General features: G+C 43.8%; 1 protein-coding gene and 1 non-coding gene across 3 annotated transcripts in view, besides 4 other annotated features; one reads left to right on the forward strand and one right to left on the reverse strand.

Moving 5' to 3' along the window:
- Positions 14730–14779: an enhancer, noted in NCBI's record as "active region_9253". NCBI's record gives its function as "activates an Ori minimal core promoter by ATAC-STARR-seq in GM12878 lymphoblastoid cells {active_cell/tissue: GM12878}" and the evidence as "EXISTENCE:reporter gene assay evidence [ECO:0000049][PMID:35858748]".
- Positions 18357–18406: a silencer, noted in NCBI's record as "silent region_6339". NCBI's record gives its function as "represses an Ori minimal core promoter by ATAC-STARR-seq in GM12878 lymphoblastoid cells {active_cell/tissue: GM12878}" and the evidence as "EXISTENCE:reporter gene assay evidence [ECO:0000049][PMID:35858748]".
- Positions 18383–18464, reverse strand: TRS-GCT4-2 (tRNA-Ser (anticodon GCT) 4-2). The gene has a single exon. It is a non-coding gene; the product is annotated as a tRNA-Ser (tRNA).
- Positions 18527–18746: an enhancer, noted in NCBI's record as "active region_9254". NCBI's record gives its function as "activates an Ori minimal core promoter by ATAC-STARR-seq in GM12878 lymphoblastoid cells {active_cell/tissue: GM12878}" and the evidence as "EXISTENCE:reporter gene assay evidence [ECO:0000049][PMID:35858748]".
- KNL1 (kinetochore scaffold 1) overlaps positions 18807–23639 on the forward strand; it is a 70094-nt gene continuing 65261 nt past the window's right edge. For both annotated transcript variants that reach the window (NM_170589.5, NM_144508.5), the window contains exon 1: positions 18807–18950. The gene's annotated coding sequence lies outside the window, so the exon portion shown is untranslated. The remainder of the gene's footprint in view (positions 18951–23639) is intronic.
- Positions 18967–19286: an enhancer, noted in NCBI's record as "active region_9255". NCBI's record gives its function as "activates an Ori minimal core promoter by ATAC-STARR-seq in GM12878 lymphoblastoid cells {active_cell/tissue: GM12878}" and the evidence as "EXISTENCE:reporter gene assay evidence [ECO:0000049][PMID:35858748]".

Genomic DNA, 23639 nt, shown 5'->3' on the forward strand with positions numbered 1-23639 from the left:
AAAAGACTAACAGCCCAACTTAAAAATGGGCAAAGGATTGGAATAGACATTTTTCCAAAGAAGATATACAAATGACCAGCTAACATATGAAAAAAAAAAAAGCTGAACATTATTAGTTATCAGGGAATGCAAATCAAAACTGTGGCATTAGTATAAGAATAGACATAGAGTGATGGAATAAAATCAAGAGTCAAGAAATAAACCCATCCATCTAAGGTCAATTGGTTTTTGACAAAAGTGCTAAGACTGTTCAGTGGGGAGAGAATAGTCTTAAACAAATGTGTTTTTTCTTAAACAGTTCGTGCTGGGAAAACTGGGTATTCACATAAAAAAGAAAAAAGTTAGACCCCTACCTCATACACAAAAATTAACTGAAAATAGGCCAAGGACAATGGCTTACACCTACAATCCCAACACTTTGGGAGGCCGAGGCAGGAGGATCCCTTGAGGCCAGAAGTTTGAGAACACCCTGGGCAACATAGCAAGACCTTATCTCTACAATAAATAAATAAATCAGCTGCGTGCGATGATGTACGCCTGTAGCCCTAGGTACTCGGAAGGCTGAGGCAAAAGGATTAGTTGAGCCCAGGAAAAGTCTTAGAAGAAAATATTGGGGTAAATCTTCAAGACCTTAAATTTGGCAATGGGTTCTTAGATACAACACCAAAATAATAATCAATGAAATACAAAATAAATAAATTGCACTTTATCAAAATAAGGACTTTTGCGAATCAAAAGACACTATCAAAAAAGTGAAAAGACAGCCTACAGGATGGGAGGAAATTCCAGAAGAGGAATAGTTGGGTATATGGTAATACTAATTTATATTTTTGGAAGAGCCTCCATACTGTTTTTCATAGTGGTTGCAGCATTTTACAATCCTACAAACTGCACAAGGGTCCGATTTCTTCACATCCTCACTAACACGTGTCATTTTTTTCATTTTTTGATAGTGTCCATCCTAATGGATGTGAGATTATATCTCATTGTGGTTTTAATGTACATTTCTCTGATGATTACTGAGAACATCTTTTCATATGCTTGTTGGCAATTTTTATATCATCTTTGGAGAAATGTCTATCCAAGTTCTTTGCTCATTTTTTGATTTACAATTGTCTTTCAGTATCCATGCATGATTGGTTCTAGGATACCTCCACCTTCATCCCAAGATACCAAAATTCACAGATGCTTAAGTCTCATATAAAATGACATATTATTTGCATATAAACGTCCTCTCGTACACTTTAAATCATCTCTAGTTTACTTACTATACATAGTAAATGCTATATAAATAGCTGTTATACTGTGCTGTTTAGGGAATAATAAGGAAAAAAAGTCTGTACATGTTCAGTACAGATGCAACCATCCATTTTTTTTTCCAAATGTTTTCAATCTAGGATTTGTTGAGTCCACAGATTCAGAATCTATGGACATGGAGGGCCAACCATATTTGATTTTTTTGTTGTTGAGCTGCAGGAGCCCTTTATGTATTCTAGGTATTAACTCATTATCAGATACATGCTTAGCACATATTTTCTCTTATTCCATAGGTTGCCTTTTCACTTTCTTGATTGTGTTCTTTGATGCACAGAAGTTTTAAAGTTTAATACAGTCCCATTTGTCTGTTTTTTGTTTTTATTTATTTTATTTTATTTTATTTTATTTTATTTTATTTTATTTTATTTTATTTTATTTTTTTGAGACAGAATCTCATTCTGTCGCCCAGGCTGGAGTGTGGTGGCACAATCTCGGCTCACTGCAACCTCCACCTCCCGGGCTCAAGCATTTCTCCTTCCTCAGCCTCCCGAGTAGCTGGGACTACAGGCACACGCCACCACACCTGGCTAATTTTTGTATTTTTAATAGAGATGGGGTTTCACCACGTTGGCCAGGCTGGTCTTGATCTCCGGACCTCAAGTGATCCACCCACCTTGGCCACCCAAAGTGCTGGGATTATAGGCGTGAGCCACCATGCCCGGCCAGAATTGTTTTCTTAATTTCATGTTTAATTATTTATTCATTGGTAGTCTATAGAAATATGACCGATTTTTGGCTGGGGGCGGTGGCTCATGCCTGTAATCCCAGTACTCTGGGAGGCCAGTCGGGGGATGGATCACCTGAGGTCAGGAGTTTGAGACCAGCCTGGCCAACATGGCGAAACTTCACCTTTACTAAAACTACAAAAATTAGCCGGGTGTGGTGGCATGCGCCTGTAGTCCCAGCTACTTGGGAGGCTGAGGCAGGAGTAACACTTGAACCCAGGAGGCAGAGGTTGCAGTGAGCCAAGATGGTGCCACTGCACTCCAGCCTGGGTGACAGAGTGAGACACCGTCTCAAAAAAAAAAAAAAAATATGACTGACTTACGTATGTTGATTTTGTACTCTGCAATTCTGCTGAATTTATTAGCTTTTTTTGTGGATTCTTTAGGGATATATATTATCTAATACACAAATTATACTATATATTATATTTATATATATATATATAATCCATGTCATCTGCAAATAGAGATAATGTTACTTCTTCCTTCCCCATTTGGATACCTTTTGTTTCTTTTTCTTGTCTAATTGCTATGGATAGAACTTCCAGTACAATGTTGAATAGAAATAGCATAGGGAAAGTGGGTCTCCTTGTCTTGCTCCTTATCTTAGGCGGATAGTTTTCAGTCTTTCACCATTGTGTGTGATGTTACCTCTGGGCTTTTCATAAATGCCCTTTACCATACTGAGGATGTTCTTGCCCTGCATTTTTTTTTCTTTTTCTTTTCTTTTTTTTTTTTTTTTTTGAGGTGGAGTCTCGCTCTTTCACCCAGGCCAGAGTGCAGTGGCGTGATCTTGGCTCACTGCAAGCTCTGCCTCCTGGGTTCATGCCATTCTCCTGCCTCAGCCTCCCGAGTAGCTGGGACTACAGGTGCCTGCTACTGCGCCCAGCTAATTTTTTGTATTTTTAGTAGAGACAGGGTTTCACCGTGTTAGCCAGGATGGTCTCGATCTCCTGACCTCGTGATCTGCCTGCCTTGGCCTCCCAAAGTGCTGGGATTACAGGCGTGAGCCACTGCGCCCGGCCTTTTTTCTCTTTTTGAGACAGAGTCTCGCTCTGTCGCAAAGCCTGGAGTGCAGTGGCACTGTGTCGGCTCACTACAACCTCCGTCTCCTGGATTCAAGCAATTCTTCTGCCTCAGCCTCCTGAGTAGCTGGGATTACAGGCGCCCACCACCACATCCAGCTAATTTTTGTGTTTTTTAGTAGAGACTGGGTTTCCCAATGTTGGCCAGGCTGGTCTTGAACTCCTGACCTCAGCTGATCCACCCACCTTGGCCTCCCAAATTGCTGGGATTACAGGCCTGAGCCACCGCGCCTGGCCCTTGCCCTGCATTTCTGCTTGTTTCTTGCCCTGCATTTCTGCCTGGACAGCCCTTTGACTTCTGCTCAGGCAGAAACCTTTTCTTTCCTGTTCCTTCTGTTGTACACCTGTCATGTATTTCCTATTTCGTTGGAGTACTCATAAAGAGAACCATGGATTTTTGTTTTCAGGTAACTTCATGGTGAATAACAAAGGCTTATTCATACCGAATCCATTGCCTTTGACCAGAACATATGGAGCAGAAGTAGTGTAGGCGGGGAAAGCAATTGTGTTTATATTCTTTTAGTGGTTCATATTGGTCGTTAACCACCTACTATATGCCAAACATTATTTATTGCTGGGATACAGAGATGAATGGCTGGCCCCTGCCCTGTTAGAACACACATGATGAAATGTGCAAGTACAAAGGGAACCAGTGGAAATATGATATAATTCTGTCTGGAAGTACTAGCATAGATTTCCCAGAGAAAGAGGCATTTAACAGTGAGTTAGAATTTGCCTACTAGAGATATAAGAGGATTCCAGATAGAGGGACAATTTGAGAGAAGGTGGTCATATTCTAGAACTCGAAAAGACAGAGGAGGAGACACCCAAGGAGAGCGTTTAACCCTGGGGCTCTAGTATATGTCTCCCTATCACTTACTATTGAAGCCTTTTTTTTTTTAAATTTGAGACGGAGTCTTGCTCTGTTACCAGGCTGGAGTGCAGTGGCGCAATCTCAGCTCACCGCAACCTCCGCCTCCCGAGTTCAAGCAATTCTCCTGCCTCAGTCTCCCGAGTAGCTGGGACTACAGGTGCACACCACGCCCAGCTAATTTTTGTATTTTTAGTAGAGACAGGGTTTCACCATGTTGGTCAGGCTGGTCTCAAACTCCCGACCTCAGGTGATCCGCCCACCTCGGCCTCCCAAAGTGTTGGGATTACAGGCGCCGGCCACCGCACCTGGCCTATTGAAGCCTTTCAGTGGCTTGTATATCACACCAGTGATAGGGGATTCTCATGAATCTGAGTATTTGCTCAGCTTCAAGAAAACCCTATCTCCATTCCATGAGCCAGCCAACTCTCCTTATCACTGAGACCCTCCATAACTCAGGAGCTGTGGGGTCCTAGGACTGGGAAGAATGAGATATCCAATAAAATGAATTCATATGGCAGATATTTGAGAGCCAACTATGTGCTGGATTCACACTAGGCTCTGGGTATATAATGGTGAGTAAGACAGATAAGGTCTCCACTCTTATGAAGTATACAGTCCGAATGTCCAGCACAATGTGGGAAAGTAAACAGTAAACAATGTGGTAAATGTTCTGTGTGACAGGAGAAGGAGGGAGGCACACCTAGTGTGATTCCTTCCAGGATCCCAGGGTTCTGAATGGGAGCATTAGCATTTGCCCATTTTCCATCTCACCTCTTAAGTTCTGAATTTTACCCTCTCTAGTGCTGTTTATCCTATTCTCATTATTTCAGAGGTTCTTGAGCTAGAGACACATGGATGGGCTTGAGAGGATCCCTGGATCTCTTGAAATTTTATGTAAAATTTGGTATATGTGTATACTTTTCTGAGGAGAGTCTATATATTAATTTCTCAACAGATCTTTTAAAGCTGCGTTGTCCAATGCTAGCAACATATGGCTATTTAATTAAAATTAAATAAAATTTAAAATGCATGGGAAGCCGAGGCGGGTGGATCACTTGAGTCTTGGAGTTCGAGACCAGCCTGGCCAATATGGTAAAACCCTGTCTCTATGAAAAATACAAAAATTAGCCAGCCATGGTTGCATGTGCCTGTAATCCCAGCTACTCAGGAGGCTGAGGCAGGAGAATCACTTGAAGCCAGGAGGTGGAGGTTGCAGTGAGCTGAGATCGTGCCACTGCACTCCAGTCTGGGCAACTGAGTGAGACTCTGTCTCATAAAATAAAATGCAGGCCGGGCATGGTGACACATGCCTGTAATCGCAGCACTTTAGGAGACTGAGGCAGGTGGAATGCCTCAGCTCAGGAGTTCGAAACCAGCATAGGCAACATGGTGAAACCCTGTCTCTACTAAAAATACAAAAAATTCACTGGGCATGGTGGCGGGTGCCTGTAATCCCAGCTACTTGGGAGGCTGAGGCAGGCAAATCTCTGGAACCCAGGAGGCAGAGGTTGCCGTAAGCTGAGATCGTGCCACTGCACTCCAGCCTGGGCTACAGAGCAAGACTCTGTCTCAAAAAAAATAAAAATAAAAATAAGCCAGGTGCGGAGCCTCACGCCTGTAATCCCAGCACTTTGGGAGGCCGAGGCGGGTGGATCACAAGGTCAGGAGTTCAAGACCAGCCTGGCCAAGAGGATGAAATCTGGTCTCTACTAAAAATACAAAAATTAGCTGGGCGTGGTGGCAGGTGCCTGTAATCCCAGCTACTCGGGAGGTTGTGGCAGAGAATTGCTTGAACCCGGGAGACAGAGGTTGCAGTGAGCTGAGATCGTGCCACTGCACTCCAGCCTGGGGACAGAGTGAGACTCCGTCTCAAAATAAATAAAAATAAAAATGAAACAAAATGCAGTTTTTCTGCTGTATTTGCCCCATTCCCAGTGTTCAAAGCCACTTGGTCTAGTGACCACCATATTGGACAGCACAGACATAGAATAGTTCCATCACCTAGCAAAGTTCTATTGGGTGCCATTGCTTCAAAGGATCTCTACACAAAACAAGAGTTCCTAACTACAATTACTCCACTAGTCTGCAGATGCCTAAAAAGCAGGGTGTGTGTGTGTGTGTGTGTGCATGTGTGTTCTTCTATCTTGCACATACTAATCAAGCAATTGGTCTCTCTGTGTTAATTAAATGCTGTGCTAGGTGCTAGTGTGTCCGTTCCTTCGGGTGGGTTCTTGGTCTCCCTAACTTCAAGAATGAAGCCACAGACCTTCGGGTGAGTGTTACAGCTCTCAAAGGTGGCACGGACCCAAAGAGTGAGCAGCAGCAAGACTTATTGTGAAGAGCGAAAGAATACAGCTTCCACAGCATGGAAGGGGACCCCAGTGGATTGCTGCTGCTGGCTTTTGGAGGGGGTGGGGGTGGCCAGCTTTTATTCCCTTATTTGTCCCTGCCCATGTCTTGCCGATTGGTCCATTTTACAGAGTGCTGATTGGTCCATTTTACAGAGTGCTGATTGGTGCATTTACAATACTTTAGCTAGACACAGAGGGCTGATTGGTGCATTTTTACAGAGTGCTGATTGGTGCATTCACAATCCTTTAGCTAGACACAGAGCGCTGATTGGTGCATTTTTACAGAGGGCTGATAGGTGTGTTTACAATCTTCTAGCTAGACAGAAAAGTTCTCCAAGTCCCCACTGACCCAGGAAGTCCTGCTGACTTCACCTCTCACTGGAATGTTAATACAAAACCTGTGACAAAAGTACTACCTATAAGGAGCCCAGGTTGAATCTAGTTGTCCTTTGCTATGCTGAACAGTTGGCTGTTCTTGAATGTGTTTTTTATCCTTATAAAATGGTATCCTTTTGGCTGGGTGCAGTGGCTCATGCCTATAATCCTAGCACTTTGGGAGGCCAAGGCGGGCAGATCGCCTGAGCTCAGGAGTTCCAGACTAGCTTGGGCAACACGGTGAAACCCTGTATCTACTAAAATACAAAATAAATTAGCTGGGCGTGGCAGCGTGCGCCTGTTGTCCCAGCTACTCAGGAGGCTGAGGCAGGAGAATTGCTTGAATCCGGGAGGCAGAGGTTGCAGTGAGCCGAGATCGCGCCACTGCACTCCAGCCTGGGCGAGAGAGCAAGACTCTGGCTCTACAGAAAAAAAAAAAAAGTATCCTTTTAAAACTTTTATTATAGCCCCCTTCCCTCACCCCTGCTCTGGAGGTAACCACTATTAATAACTAAGGGGTCCCAAAGGGGTGGGGGTGAGGCAGAACAAGGTCTGGAGGCAGGGAACCTAAGGCCATTTCACACTGACTTCCTAGAACTAAATTGATAGGAAAGCCCTAACTGTCCACTCCTAATAACAAAAGGACCAGAGGTTACTCCCTTTGCAAACCCCCAACTTTTCTGCCCCGCAGATGGGAAATTGAAAGTACCTCTGATTGGTTGCTTTTTGCAATCGATCAGATGTTTCCATGGGACTGTGACCTTTGTAACATCACTTCAGCCTCCGATTGGTTGTTGTCTGCAACCAATCAAACTGATTGCTGGCCAAGTCTTCCTTTGCATAGAAGTGCAACTTTGTAACTTCAGTTTAGCCTCTGATTGGTTGCCTTTGCAACCATGAGGTGAACACCAAGTGGCCAACGGGAAACCTCTAGGGGCTATTTGGACCCGAGAAGATTCTGTATTGGGGGCCCTTGAGCCACTGCTTGGCCCACTGCCACACTGTGGAGTGTACTTTCATTTTCAATAAATCCCTGCCTTCATTTCGTTCCTTTCGTTGCTTCATTCTTTCCTTGCGTTGCTGTGCATTTTGTCCTATTCTTTGTTCAAAATGCCAAGAACCTGGACAACTTGCAGTCAAGACCCTCTAGCGGTAATGGGGAGGGGGGAAAATAATGATAAAAATAAAGGGTTCTCCTGCCTGTTTTCTATTCATAGATACAAAAATCTATATGTATTTCCTTTAATAAAAATAAAAATGAGATCATGCCATGCAAATTGTTCTGTAACTTGATTTTTTGGATTTTTTTTTTTTTTTTTTTTGCGACGGAGTCTCTGCCACCCAGGCTGGAGTGCAGTGGCGCAATCTTGGCTCACTGCAACTTCCGCCTCCTGGGTTCAAGCAATTCTCCTGCCTCAGCCTCCGGAGTAGCTGGGACTACAGGCACACGCCGCCACGCCCGGCTAATTTTTTTTTTGTATTTTTAGTACAGACGGGGTTTCACCATATTGGCCAGGCTGGTCTCCAACTCCTGACCTCGTGATCTGCCCGCCTCAGTCTCCCAAAGTGCTGGGATTACAGGCGTGAGCCACGGTGCCCAGCCTTGATTTTTTTTTTTTTTTTTTTTTTGAGACGGAGTCTCGCTCTGTCGCCCCAGTCTGGAGTGCAGTGGCGCGATCTCAGCTCACGGCAAGCTCCGCCTCCCGGGTTCACGCCATTCTCCTGCCTCAGCCTCTCGGAGTAGGTGGGACTACAGGCGCCCGCCACCACCCCCGGCTAATTTTTTTTTTTTTTTTTTTTTAGTAGAGACGGGGTTTCACCGTGGTCTCGATCTCCTGACCTCGTGATCCGCCCGCCTCGGCCTCCCAAAGTGCTGGGATTACAAGCGTGAGCCACCGCGCCCAGCCGATTTTTTTTTTTATAGCTGCATTGTGTTCCATTGTACTACAATCTATCTTCTGTTGCTGGAATTTTAGGTGTTTGCAGTTTTTCACTATTCTCAGGCCATAGTAAACATCCTTATATACCCTTCCACACTTGTAGCATAGTTTCTACAGGACAGTTTTTTAGTGTAATTATGGGGTCAATGGCTTTAAATATAAATAGGTAATAGGAAACTGCCCTCCAAAAAGATTATACCAATTTTCATTCTGTCCAGTCATGTGAGAGGCTGAGGCAGCTGAATGCAGCAACTGAAAATGCAGCTGGTCCAGCAGCTGCATTTTTCAAAGTTGGCATTGTTTCCAGTCAGGGTTGGAACCATGGGTTTCCCTGAATGTCTGTATCTTTTCACGGATGACCTAGACTTGCTTGAGTCAATCTTGCTTCCAAAGACTTTAGAGAAAATGGACTGATTTCAAAGCCTTTTCGAGGTTTGGATGATTGATCCTCAAGACTCACATATTCTAGAACATAGGATTATTGAAAACCAAAGACAGAAGCAGAACAGCCATGGAATGTGACCAGTTTTTAGTTGGGTAAGTTTACTGTGGTCCTGACGAGGTATCATCACCAAAGGCACTCATTCTGCTTAGAACACTGTCTTGTACATGGTGAACAATATTGTCTATGATTATGATTTTTGTTTTCTTCCCCTCCAAGTCCTCTGTCATCCTCTTCTTTTCATTTGAAGCTTGTCCACGTTTTCAAAACTGCAACATTTTTGTCAACCATTAACTAGGTGAAAACAGTTAAGAATTGCCTACTAAAGTTGAACACACACATAACCAATGACTCTACTTCTAGCTATCTACCTACAGAAACACTTGTACATGTGCCCCAAGAGACATATAAAAACAGTCACAGCAGTGTTCTTGCAGCAAAAGACTGGAGATAACAAAAATATCCATCAATAAGAGAATGGATACCTAATTGTATGTTCAGATAATTGCAAACTAATCAGCAGTGAAAATGAACGAATTATACGGATAAAACAGTGTCCAGTGACAGAAGTTACAGATGAATACGTTATATAAAATGAATACATTATATAAAATTAAAAAACAGACAAAACATATTTAAGACTACAAATATGTATAAATATGTATATTTGGTAAGAAAAACAAGAGAATGATTAACATGAAATTCAGAAAAGTTGTTATCTTTGCCAGACACGGTGGCTCACGCCTGTAATCCCAGCACTTTGGGAGGCCAAGGCAGGTGGATCACGAGGTCAGGAGATCGAGACCATCTTGGCTAACACGGTGAAACCCCGTCTCTACTACAAATACAAAAAATTAGCCAGGCGTGGTGACATGCACCGCAATCCCAGCTTCTCGGGAGGCTGAGGCAGGAGAATCGCATGAACCCGGGAGGCGGAGTTTGCAGTGAGCCGAGATCGCGCCACTGCACTCCAGCCGGGGGCGACAGAGTGTGACTCCGTCTCAAACAAACAAACAAACAAACAAACAAAAAGTAGTTACCTTTTTTTTTTTTGGAAATGGAGTCTCACTCTGTCTCCCTGGCTGGAGTGCAGTGGCGGGATCTTGGCTCACTGCAACCTCCGCCTCCCAGGTTCAAGCGATTCTCCTGCCTCAGCCTCCCGAGTAGCTGGGATTATAGGCGCCCGCCACCACGCCTGGCTAATTTTTTGTATTTTTTTTTTTTTTAGTAGAGACAGGGTTTCACCATATTGGTGAGGCTGGTCTCAAACTCCTGACCTCGTGGTCTGCCTGCCTCATCCTCACAAAGTGCTGAGATTACAGGCGTGAGCCACTGTGCCCGGCCAAAGTAGTTATCTTTTTGGTGGGAGGATGCCTCCAGGAAGGGACACACAGGAAGCATCAAAGGTGCTAGTAATCTGCCACCTGCCAAGAGGGTAGGAAAAAAAAATTAAAATAATTAAAAATCATTTTTTAAAAAAGAAACAAAGGGGCTGGTAATGTTCTATTTCTCAAGCTGGGTGGTGTATATACAGCATTGCTGTTTTTTTCTTTCTTTCTTTCTTTCTTTTTTTTTTCGGAGACAAGGTCCTGCTCTGTTGCCCAGGCTGGATTGCAGTGGCACGATCATGGCTCACTGTACTCTCGACCTCCCAGGTTCAAGTGATCCTCCCACTTCAGCCTCCTGAGTAGCTGGGACCGCAGCACACACCAGCACACCCAGCTAATTTTTGCATTTTTGGTAGAGACAGGGTTTTGCCATGTTTCCCAGGCCTGTCTGGAACTCTTGGGCTCAAGTGATTCACCCATTTGAGCCTCTTGAGTAGCTGAGAATATGGGTGCATACCACCACACCTGGCTAATTTTTAATATTTTGTAGAGACAGAGTCTCACTGTGTTACCTAGGCTGGTCTCGAACTACTGGCCTCAAGCGATCGTCCCCAACCTTGGCCTCCCAAAGTGCTGGGATTACATGTGTGAGCCACTGCACCTGGCCTTATTATTGTTATTTTTAAACTGTACATGCATATTACATTACGTATGTATGTATTGTATAATTGTGTAATACTATCAAGATAAAACTTTTAAACAACAAATATTAAAATATCTCACCTCTTTTTTTTAACATTTGGTTATCTCTGAAATAGTGACTCTCCTCTTTCAGTCCCACTGCACAACTCTTTAAGATCCATTTGACCTTCACACAGCTGGTGGGTGCTACTCCAAAGTGCCTAGACCATGGGTTGTTTTCACCAGTGGTGGAAAGATAACACCATACACCTAGTATTTTGGAGACTATAATGGTAAGCAATAATTAATAATTTGCAAAAATGGGCCAGGCGCTTGGTGGCTCACACCTATAATCCCAGCACTTTGGGAGGCTGAGGTGGGCGGATCATGAGGTCAGGAGATCGAGACCATCCTGGCTAACACGGTAAAAGCCTGTCTCTACTAAAAATACAAAAAAAAAATTAGCCAGGCATGGTGGCGGGCGCCTGTAGTCCACCTACTAGGGAGGCTGAGGCAGGAGAATGGCATGAACCCAGGAGGTGGAGCTTGCAGTGAGCTGAGATAGCGCCAGTGCACTCCAGCCTGGGCGACAGAGCAAGACTCCGTTTCAAAAATAATAATAATAATAATTTGCAAAAATGACTAACTGCTTTAATTTGCCTTAGCAGATTCAAATACAACTTCTCCATCATAAAAGAACTGAGGGATCTAAAAGCAGTTCATGGCTTTGGAATTCTAGACCCCGCATGCTCTCCGACACAAAGAGCCCAAGAACTTGCATCTTCTATCTCTTCATTACCAAGACATCTAGACAAAAGGTTCTTGAAAATGTTTTAGTAATTCAAGTAAATAATAAGTGATGCAATTATTCTGGTTCTTTTTTCTTTCCAACATTCCAAATGTTGAAGTTAAAGTAGGTTAGGAATTTTAAAAGGAAAGCTTTATATCTGATCTAAATGCCAAATCTTCCAGAATCACAACTGAAGCAAAATTGCAAGGATTAGTCATTTTATAAGCCAAGATATGCCAGAAACTGCCAGTAAACTACAGAAGCTAGATGAGAGATATGAAATAGATTCTCCCTCACACCCCTCCTAAGGAACCAACCCTGTTGACACCTTGATCTCAGACTTTAGCCTCCAGAACTGGGAGACAATAAATTTTTGTTGTTTAAGCAAAATTTTTTGGGTTTTTCTGAGACAGCCTGTCACCCAGGCTGGAGTACGGTAGCATGATCAAGGCTCACTGCAACCTGGAACTCCTGGGTTCAAATGATCCTCCTGCCTCAGCCTCCCGAGTAGCTGGGCCCACAAGTGTGCACACCCATGCCTGGCTAATTTTTTTTTTTTTTTTTTTTGAGGTAGAGTCTCACTCTGTTTCCCAGGCTGGAGTACAGTGGCACAATCTCGGCTCACTGCAACCTCCATCTCCTGGGTTTAAGTGATACTCCTGCCTCAGCCTCCTGGGTAGCTGGAGTTACAGGTGCATGCCACCATGCCTGGCTAATTTTTGTATTTTTAGTAGAGATGGGTTTTTTTGCCACATTGGCCAGGCTGGTCTCGAACTCCTGACCTCAGGTGATCTGCCTGCCTTGGCCTCCCAAAGTGCTGGGATTACAGGCGTGAACCACCGTGCCCAGCCGCCTGGCTAATTTTTTTAATTTTAATTTCATTTTTTGTAGAGACAGGGTCTCACTGTATTACCCAGGCTGGTCTCGACCTCTTGGCCTCAAGCAGAACTTCTGCCTTGGCCTGTCAACATGCTGGGATTACAGGCATAAGCCATGGCACCTGGCCTCAAAAAAGAATTTTAAAGCCTTGCATCTTGGGCTGAAATAAAGGCCACCTCTGATACCTCCTAGGTTATATAAAAAATGACTACTGACAGTCATTGAAAGGAGAGTTGATTGGAAGTGATCCTTTCAGTGAGTTCCCAGAAACTGACATTAAGGAACTATTTCAGTTTTTTAAAGCTAAAAAATCAAAACAAAAACAAAACATTTTTTCAGATGTCAAGTTTCTGTGTTATTCAATAATTTAAAAATCAGAATTCTAGACCAGGCACGGTGGCTCACACCTGTAATTCCAGCACTTTGGGAGGCTGAGCGGGGCAGATCACCTGAGGTCAGGAGTTTGAGACTAGCCTAGCCAACATGATGAAACTCCATCTCTACTAAAAATATAAAAATTAGCTGGGTGTGGTGTGGCGCGCACCTGTAATCCCAGCTACTCAGGAAGCTGAGATGAGAGAATCGCTTGAACCTGGGTGGCGGAGGTTGCAGTGAGCCAAGGTCGCGCTACTGCACTCCAGCCTGAGTGACAGAGTGAGACTCTGTCTCACAAAAAAAAAAAAAGGAAAAAAGAAAACGATCAGATAAACAACTGGCTAACTATCCATCACTACCTCAGCTTGGGATATACCATAAAGTGTTATTCCCTATTTCCCTGAGTCTTTGGCATTTACTCATTCATCTTGGCTTTCCTAGACAATGTTACTAAAACTGGATTTCCGTTTTGCTCTACTGATCTTCAATATGAAAATGTTATTTAGTTTTCAGTTCACTAGACATTCCTAGAAGTTGTTGTAGTATTTTCACACGATAGAGTACATCTCAGGGAATGATTTTAGAAAAGAAAAACGTTTTGGGTCGGTGTTGTAGACTCAGAGCAGAATGCATGGATTCACTATGGAACCTCTCCAGACCCTGTCATCACTGTGTTCCCAGAGATGGTTCTCCAGTGGGAGAACCTAATGGTAAGGAACAAATTGACTTCACTTCTGTCATTGCCTGCCTCTCAAAACCAGTCTTTGCAAGTCTTGGAGCCTGAGGTCTGGGTTTTTCTTGCAAGAGTTAAGAAATAAACTTTAGATGTGTCAAAAAAAAAAAAAAAAGCCAAACCGAACAAACAAAAACAAAGCATTGATTTCAATTCTTCCTTCAGAGCTATGTCATATAAGGGCTGCTGCTGACACACACAGCCTGTCTGGGCTGTGGACCAGTTTATTATTTCATAATAAACATTGGCCATTGATTCCCAGAGAACCTCATTTTCAAAAGAGGGAATTGGTCCTCTTAAAGCTGGCCCCAGATAATGAAGACGCATTGCCTAACACTCCAATAGTAAAAGAGCTGGAATATCTTGGTAAGATATTTATGCAACAGTCCTTTGCTGTGGTCTTCCAGAGGTTGAGGTGTCCTGCAATAGTTGAGGATAGTACTTGCAAGGAAGAACGTTGGTGTTGGTAGAGAACGGTTTCTTTGAGCTGTGGTTTGTTGAAGAATTTGGGGAGTTAATGGAGATCTCTGTAGACGAGAGCATCCATCTCGGTAGACGAGAGCATCCATCCCTGTAGATAAGAGCATCTTGTCCGAGTCTTGCAGTTGCAGCTGCTCCAGTAGATGGCGCCTCTAACTCTTTTCCTGTCAGCTTCTTACAAGCTTCTCTTTCCGTTTCTAATTGAAGTATTTCTTTTTCTTTCCCTTGACTTTTTTTTTTTTTTTTTTTTTTTTGAGACGGAGTCTCGCTGTGTCGCCCAGGCTGGAGTGCAGTGGACCGATCACGCCTCACCGCAGCCTCAACCTCCGGGGCTCAAGCGATCCTCCCACCTCAGCCTCGCAGGACTACGGGCGCTAGCGACCACACCAGCCTCTTTCTTTCTTTCTTTCTTTTTTCTTTCTTGTCTTTCTTTCTTTCTTATTTTCTTTTTCTTTCTCTTTCTTTCTGTCTTTCTTTTTCTCTCTCTTTCCTTCTTTCTTGAGACAGATTCTCCCTATGTTGCTTGGGCTGGTCTCGAACTCCGGGACTCAAGCAATCCTCCCACCTCAGCCTTCCAGAGTGCTGGAATTACAGGTGTGAGCCACTGTACTCAGCCTAAAAAAGTGAGTTTTCAACTCACAATTTTTTTCTTTTTTTTCCTCTATATTCTGCCAGTACATTTCATTTTCATAACTTATACAGCTGAAGATTTTCCTTTGAAAAAATAATCTTCCCAGCCCATGCAGCACGCCGTCCCATCCAGCATGGCCAACATGGTGATGTTGCGGGACAATCAAAAGATGGGAGAGACCGAACAGAGTGAGTTCAGGAAAGGTCTTTATTAAAAGGTGGTCACTTGGCCCAGTAGGACTAGCCTCCAGGAAAGTCTGAGCCCCAGACAAAGAAAGTAGCCACGTTTTACGCAGTCAGTGGCCGGGAGCAACGTGATGCAGGAAGGGTACTTACAGAAGCGAGAACAAAGACAGTTGATCAGTCTTTTACATTTATCTATACTACACGTTCCACATCCCTGGGAAACCATGTTTCTGTACCAACCTTATAACTTTGCAGCTGCCCTAGGGAGGGGAAGCAGGAACTCGCTGAGCCTCAAGGAATGTGAAACTAGCAAGTACAGATAAGGCTCGCCGAGCACAGAAGGAAAAGCAGGCAGTTAGTATTCTTCTCTAACTTGGCCGGGGGTCTTCTCTAACTTGGCTGGGGGCGGGGCGGGGGGGAGGTGGCTACACTACACTTAGCTTTTGAAGGAAAAAGTAAAAATTTTCGGTTGTCTTTGATTATACTTGTAAAATTCATGAATTCCTTCTTCAGTGAAACCCAGTCTCTCTTAAAAATACAAAAATTAACAGGGCGTGGTGGCACACACCTGTAATCCCAGCTACTTGGAAGGCTGAGGCAGGAGAACTGCTTGAACCTGGGAGGTGAAGGTTGCGGTGAGCGGAGATAGTGCCACTGCACTCCAGCCTGGGCGACAGAGCGAGACCCTGTCTCAAAAAAAAAAAAAAAAAAGTCTACCCATGCTCTGCACAGACGTTGATAGACCTATAGTTATCACTGCAAGAAGCTGGCAAACCTCAGGAAAATGATGCAGCCCTGGCGTCTCTAGAGAAGTTGCAGCACTAATGGGCAATGTAAATAAAAATGTATTTACAAATGCATTCCCAGCACTTCCCTGGCAAGTGCTGGGAAAAGCCTAGCAGGCCACAGAAGCGTCTAGGAGGGTTACAAAGGTCCAGAAGCAAGAGAGAGCGCACGGGCTAGTTGAAATGGAAGAGGGAGCTGCAGGTTGCAGGGCTTGTTGATGGGGGTGACCTCTAAGCTCAGATCCGAAGGAGAAGCAGGAGCCGCCCAGGCAGTGACATGATGGGAAAGAAGAGGGTGGGGTCAGGGGTATGTTGCAGGGAGAGGAGCAGGGACGGTATCTACAAACGTGTTGTGGAAAGAGAAAAAATCCTAGTTCAAGGAAAGGTAGATCTGTGTCTCCAGGGAGATTTAGAAAGGTCTCTCTCAGGGGCTCTTAACCTTTTTTTTGTGACACAGACCCTTTTGGCAGTCTGGGGAAGTCTAAGGATCTCATCTCAGAATTTTTTTTAAATTTTGATTAAATTTTTAAATTTTTTTGTAGAGACAGGGGCCTCACTATGTTGCCCAGACTGTCTTTGAACTCCCGGACTCAAGGGCTGCTCCTGAGATTTCAGGCATGAGCCACCATGCCTGGCCAGAATGTTGTTTTTAAATGTATAAAATTAAATATGTTAGAATACAAAGGCAACCAATTTTGTTGGAATAGTTGCCAAAATATTCTCAAAGTTTGTGATGTAATAATATAATAATGCATGCACTTTTTTTTTTTTTTTTGAAATGGAGTCTTGCTCTGTCGCCCAGGCTGGAATGCAGTGGCATGATTTTGGCTCACTGCAACCTTCACCTCCCGGGTTCAAGCAGTTCTCCTGCCTCGGCCTCCCCGGTAGCTGGGACTACAGGCACGTGCCACCACGCCCGGGTAATTTTTGTATTTTTAGTACAGATGGGGTTTCACCATGTTGGCCAGGCTGGTCTTGAACTCCTGACCTCAAATGATCCACCCACCTCAGCCTTCCAAAGAGCTGGGATTACAGGTGTGAGCCACCGCGCCCAGCTTAATGCATGCACTTCTTTATGAATGCATAACATTACAAGACATAATAGCAGGTCTAAAAATTACCACAATTTTGAAGTAGCAATGAGCGTAAAGCAATAACAGTAATCTGATATAAAAATATCTGTGATTTCTATTGGTGACAAAATAATGGATAAGGTTAATATTACTGTAGTTAGTTGCTTACCGTTATTGAAGGATGTGCTTTCAATTAGGGAGTGTGGAAATAAGGATGAAATCTTTTTCTGAACCAAATAACCCACTGAATTCTATCCATGGACCCCTTGGAAATGCGTGGAACCCAGCAGAAACCCTTCCTAGCAGCAGGGTAGAGAATGCATTGGAGAGCAAGGCTAAGGAAGGGTGACTCAATGTCCTGAGCCCAAGGAGGTATCAACATTCCCAACGGATTTGGATCTGTAACAGAAAGAAGCCACTGGAGCCAGCAGAGAATGGGGCCACTGCTTTCCATACTCAGTGCCCAAACCTTGCTGAAGCACCTGCCAGAGGCCGTGTTGTGGAGCATGGTGCAATGCAGACAGCCTTGTGGAGGAGACAATCTGTAAACCATGACTGCAAAAGATTGATAAATACTGATTATTAATCTACAGCACAGTGTAGGATTGATAAATACTAATTATTAATCTACAGCACAGATTAGAAGGGTGATTAAGCCAGCGTCTAGTAGATTTGGGTTACACTCTCCTTTCTTCAATTTAGAAGCTGTATAACCTCGGGCAAGCTAATCTTTCAGTCTCCTCATCTGTAAAATGGAGTAATAAAAATATTTGTCATGATCAAGGGTTATAGTGATGTAATTCATGTAAAACATGTGGTGCCTGTAGATAATAAATACCGGATAAAGTGTCTCATGGTAGCTTTTGAAGTGAAACCTGGTATCTCATAATCAGGACAGGTGTTAAAAACCCCAGAGTAACAGTCTACAATAATTGAAACTCCTCAGTTAGGAGCTGTGTTAAAGTTGGAACAGAGCAGCATTGGAACATATGGGATGGTAATAATTGTGGAATTCTATTCACTGTTGTTAACTCCATATAAAAAGAAATTAAATCCAGCATGATTTCTGATTCCTGGAAAGTCTCTTTCCCTCCCTTTTCTTTATCTGTGATGTCAGAACGTTCCAAATACTGTATTTCAACATTTCAGGCCTGAAACTGATGGTGCCAGATTAATTGAGTAATAAATAATAAGTATTCAAGTTTTTCCGCTCTGCAAATTTACTTTGGTTATTAAAAAATTTATTCTGCTCTGCAAATTTACTTTGGTTATTAAAAAATTTATTCTGCTCTGCAAATTTACTTTGGTTACAAGCAAAAGTAAGCCACCACATCGACGAGGATGGGATTCGAACCCACGCGTGCAGAGCACAATGGATTAGCAGTCCATCGCCTTAACCACTCGGCCACCTCGTCCCGGTAAGTTACTGTTTCCTGATTGCTATAGGGAGTAATATCAAGGGGCTGTGACGCAATGTTATGGAAGCCGCCATTTTGTACGGAAGCCAAAGTCCAATCACTTCCATAGCAAGCAATCGAAAGAAGATGGCCGCTCCCACGATTGTGGGGGAGGTCTCCACTGGGGAGGGGCAGAGGAAATTCGGTCGAAAAAGAGATAAAGCTGAAGGAAATAAAATTGGCACGGAGTCTGGGAAAGTAGTTTCCCTAAAGGAGTCTTAGAAATAGGGTTGGTCTGGAACCTAAGGGGCGGAGCCGACGCGTAGAGCCGCTTTGCGCGTGCGCATCACCTAGGCGGTTAGATTTGAATACTTCACTGAGGCGAGCCGGGCGTTGTGAGCGGACTGCTAGAGGCGGCTGTCTGTTTCCGCTCTAAGGAAACTCAGAGCGTGTGGACCCCAAACAAGTCTGCGCAAAATTTGTCGAGGAGGTTTGCCGCGGCAGGTAAAGAGAATGACTCTTTCGTTCTGGGCTTCAGGGAAGGCTTCGGGTTTTGTCTGGGCGCCCTGAAGTTCCTGCGGTGGGAGGTAGGGTACGCTCCCTCAGCCTGGCGGCCTCCGTTAGCGCCGGGCCGAGTAGACGCCCCTGCCCCGGGCCGGGCACACTGTGCCCTTTTTCCCCTCCTCGGCCTGTACGTTGTGCCGCCTCCCGCTTCCCTAACACTTCTCCGCCTGCACCTCGGCCCCTCCGGCCACCCGGCTCGGGTTGCTTGTCCGTCGCTCTCTTGGCGTCCTCTTCCGCCCCGCCCTGCCGTCCTCTGTCAGGGCTCGCGGACTCTTCTTGCACCCCTGCCGCTCTTCCCTAGGGACCTCTCGGCTGTTTGTATTTCTCACTTAAGCTTTTTTTGGCTCTAAATGAAGTGACAGCAATGAGTGATTTTAAAATTCTCAGCTCTTCGTGGTTTAAGGTGTCTGCTCGGAGTGCTGGCCGCACGTAACAGATTTTTCGTTTTCTGCAAGTATAATAACCTTAACAAATGAAGTCAATATTAGTACTGCGCAAATTAGTTTTTAAAAATCCTCTTCTGTTCATTATTCCTCAGGATTTAAGCCCTTATTCTTCACGTTTATTTAAATACTCAAGTTTGAGGGAGGAAAAAGTATTGCCGATTGGAATTTTACAGATAGGTTTAATAGGCATTAACAGATAAAGGATGTGGATGAAGACCAAAGCAGAAGCTTATTCCAGTCTAGATATTAAAATTGATGTTTTCACTTCCGTCGAATCCTGTAGATATTTATTGGGTTCCTTATCCTGTGATAGGGCCGGGGACAGATGATTCCCAAACCTAGAGGGGTTTACAAAGGGAAATAACTAATATACACAAATAACTAGAATACAAGACAGAATGTAAAAGATTATAGGACATTCTAAAGTGGTGTGGGAGCACGGAAAAGGGAGAGCTTATTTGATGCTTTTGGTGATGGATTTGTGGAGAAGACCGCATTTGAGGTGGACGTTGGTTGGAGAGATGATTTACAGATGGGAGTTAATATGTGGTAAAATTTTGGTAATTAAAGGTTAGGGTCAAAGCAGTATAATTCTTGACTTTGCGAATGGCTGGAAATCTTTACAAGATGATAAATACATGTAAATTGAATTAAAATGTTTGGAATGGTAGTATTAATGATGTGTTCGATGTTAAATAATAGACTGTAAAAGATACTGACTCTAGATATTGCCAGTAAAGCAGTGCTGTCCAACAGGGCTTCCTGTGAAAATGGTAATGTTTTATATGTGCACTCCAACATACTACCCATTAGCGACATGGGACTATGGAGCACTTGAAATGTCATTATTGTGACCAAAGAACTGATTATTAAATTTTATTTTATTTTCATTAATTTAAATGTAAATAACTACTATATTGGACAGCACAGGTCTAGAGTCTCTGTCATTTCACTCTTATCCTCCTACAATCCCGGAAAATACTAACTCTAGATATCGGTCGTATAAATGTAGGAGTGGGCAAAGAGCCAGATAGTAAATATTTCAGGCTTTGCAGGCTACATGGTCTTTGTCACATATTCTTTGTTTAGTTGTTATTGCTTGCCTTGTTTTCTACAATCCATTAAAAGGGTAAAAAAACACTCTTAGCTCAAAGGCTAATTGGGCTCAGTCGCTGTTTGAGGACCTACGGATTATTTAGAGTAGTGGTTCCCAAATTTTCTTGATGCATGGCACCCTGAGATCAAAGAAATACCTAACAGTCTATTTATTGAGTACAGTGGTTGGGTCCAAACATTAAGTATATATGTCCCAAACTTAGTAGCCATTTAAAAAAATACAGAAATTGAAGGAAAATATGATATTTTAAATTTTATTTATTTATTTATTCTTTTTTGTGAGACGGAGTCTCGCTCTGTCACCCAGGCTGGAGTGCAGTGGTGCTATCTTGGCTCACTGCAGCCTCCGCCTCCTGGGTTCAAATGATTCTCCTGCCTCAGCTTCCGCAGTAACTGGGATTATAGGCACCCGCCACCATGCGCAGCCAATTTTTATATTTTTAAGTAGACACGGGGTTTCACCACGTTGGCCAGGCTGGTCTCGAACTCTTGACCTCGGGATCCGCCTGCCTTGGCCTCCCAAAGTCCTGGGATTACAGGTGTGAGCCACTGTGCCTGGCCAAAATTTTATTATTAAATAATCACACTTACTGATTGGATATCTGTGCCTGTTGGACACTGCACAACTTCTGAAACTTTGGAATCAGTTTATACCCTGTCACCCTCATTTCCTGTAGTACTTTAATAAAAAATACTTGCTTTTGGGCCGGGCACGGTGGCTCACACCTGTAATCCCAGCACTTTGGGAGGCCGAGGCAGGCAGATCACCTGAGATCAGGAGTTTGAGACCAGCCTGACCAACATGCAGAAACTGCGTCTCTACTAAAAATACAAAATTAGCCAAGCGTGGTGGCGCATGCCTGTAATCCCAGCTACTTGGGAGGCTGAGGCAGGAGAATCACTTGAACCTGGGAGGCAGAGGTTGCAGTGAGCCAAGATTGCGCCATTGTACTCCAGCCTGGGCAACAAGAGTGAAACTCCATCTCAAAAAAAAAAAAAAAAAAAAAGGTACTTGCTTTTTATCACAGCAACTGCAAACAGTTTATCTTTACAGTGATGTTATTAAAACTAATGTAATGCAAATGTACTGTTTTGATCTAGTAGTTCACACAGTACCTGACAGGTGTTCAGAACTGCTGTGCATCTCTCAAAATTTTTAAATATCCCAGGACACCATTGTGAGTATGCTGCAGCACCCTTGGGTGCCAGGTACACAGTTTGGAATCAGTAACTTTTTTGTTTTTTTTTCTTTTCGAGACAGAGTCTCACTCACTGTGTTGCCCAGGCCAGAATGCAGTGGTGCCATCTCAGTTCACTGCAATCTCTACCTCCTGGGTTCAGGGGATTCTCCTGCTTCAGCCTCCCAAGTACCTGGGATTACAGGAACACGCTTCCATGCCTAGCTAATTTTTTTGCCCTGCTAATTTTTTTGTAATTTTAGTAGAGACAGAGGTTTCACCATGTTGTCCAGGCTGGTCTTGAACTCCTGGCCTCAAGTGATCCACCCACCTCGGCCTCCCAAAGTGCTGAGATTACAGGCTTGAGCCATCGCACCAGGCCCCGGGAACCAGTAACTTAATGTGTCAATAATCAAGAGTTTGGCCGTACCAGTGTTTTATAAATGAGGCTTAACTTGTGAGTCTGGAGTCTCCTATTTGTGTTGAAAGTGGAACTTAACAGTTACAGAATATTTTAAAAGGGGGACTTCAGTAAGTTTGAATTTTATCAGTTAATTGCTAACTGATTGGTCTACAGATTGGACAGGAATTATGCTTAATGACTGTTTTAAACAACAAAGATATTTAGGTGATCTTGAGTTGATAGTAGTTATTATCTGTGAATTTTGAACATGTGCACTGAATTTGAAAATATTTCCCCTGGGCGCGGTGGCTCACGCCTGTCATCCCAGCACTTTGGGAGGCCGAGGCGGGCAGATCACTAGGTGAAGAGTTCGAGACCAGCCTGACCAACATGGTGAAAACCCGTCTCTACTAAAAGTACAAAAATTAGCTGGGCGTGGTGGCAGGCGCCTGGAATCCCAGCTACTCTGGCGGGTGAGGCAGGAAGGAGAATCACTTGAACCCAGGATGGGGATGTTGTGGTGAGCTGAGATGGCACCATTGCTCTCTAGCCTGGGCAACAAGAGGGAAACTCCGTCTCAAAAAAAAAAAAAGAAAAAGAAAAAAAAAGAAAATATTTCCAAAGGAGAAAAAATATGCGAGTTGGTGGTCAAATAATTGTTTCTTAATTACTCATTCAGCAAATGTTTATTGAGGCTGGGCCTGCTGGCTTATACCGGTAATCCCAACACTTTGGGAGCAGAGCTGGAAGGATTGCTTGAGGCCAGGAGCTCATGACAAGCCTGGGCAGCCTAGTAGACTCCAGCTCTACAAAAAATAAAAATAAAAAAATTAGCCAGGAATGGTGGCAGGTGCCTGTAACCCCAGCTCCTCAAGAGGCTTGAGGATTACTTGAGCCTAAGAGTTTGAGACTGCAGTAAGCCTAGATCACACCACTGCACTCCAGCCTGGACAACAGAGCAAGACCCTGTCTCCCTGCCCCCTCCGGCCCCCCAAAAAAAACAAAAAAATGAGTGGGTTGGGGATATTGGGGATATATATTGGAAATCGAATTAGATGTTGGATTGAATAGAAGTAAATGGCTGTCATACTTTTTGGATCTTGGAAAGTTTTCAAAGTTTAACTATTAAGTTGATCTTTCCTATTAGTTTTTTGAATATATACTGTTAACTTACCTTCTATTTCTCGTTTGCTGTATTAAAAAGAAATTTTTTTAAATTTGTTTTCGAGACAGGGTCTAGCTCTGTTGCCCAGGCTGGAGTCTAGTGGCGTGATCACGGCTCACTGCACCACCTACCTTCCAGGCTCAAGCTATCCTCCTGCCTCACCCTCCCAAGTAGCTGGGACTACAGGCATGTGCTACCATACCTGGTTAATTATTTTTATTTTTAGTAGAGACAAGATCTCACTATGTTGCCCAGGCTGCTGTCAAACTCCTGGAGTCAAGCAGTCCTCCCACCTTGACTTCCCAGAGTGCTGGGATTACA

This window comes from Homo sapiens, chromosome 15, assembly GCF_000001405.40.
Source record: "Homo sapiens chromosome 15, GRCh38.p14 Primary Assembly".
Lineage (NCBI taxonomy): Eukaryota > Metazoa > Chordata > Mammalia > Primates > Hominidae > Homo > Homo sapiens.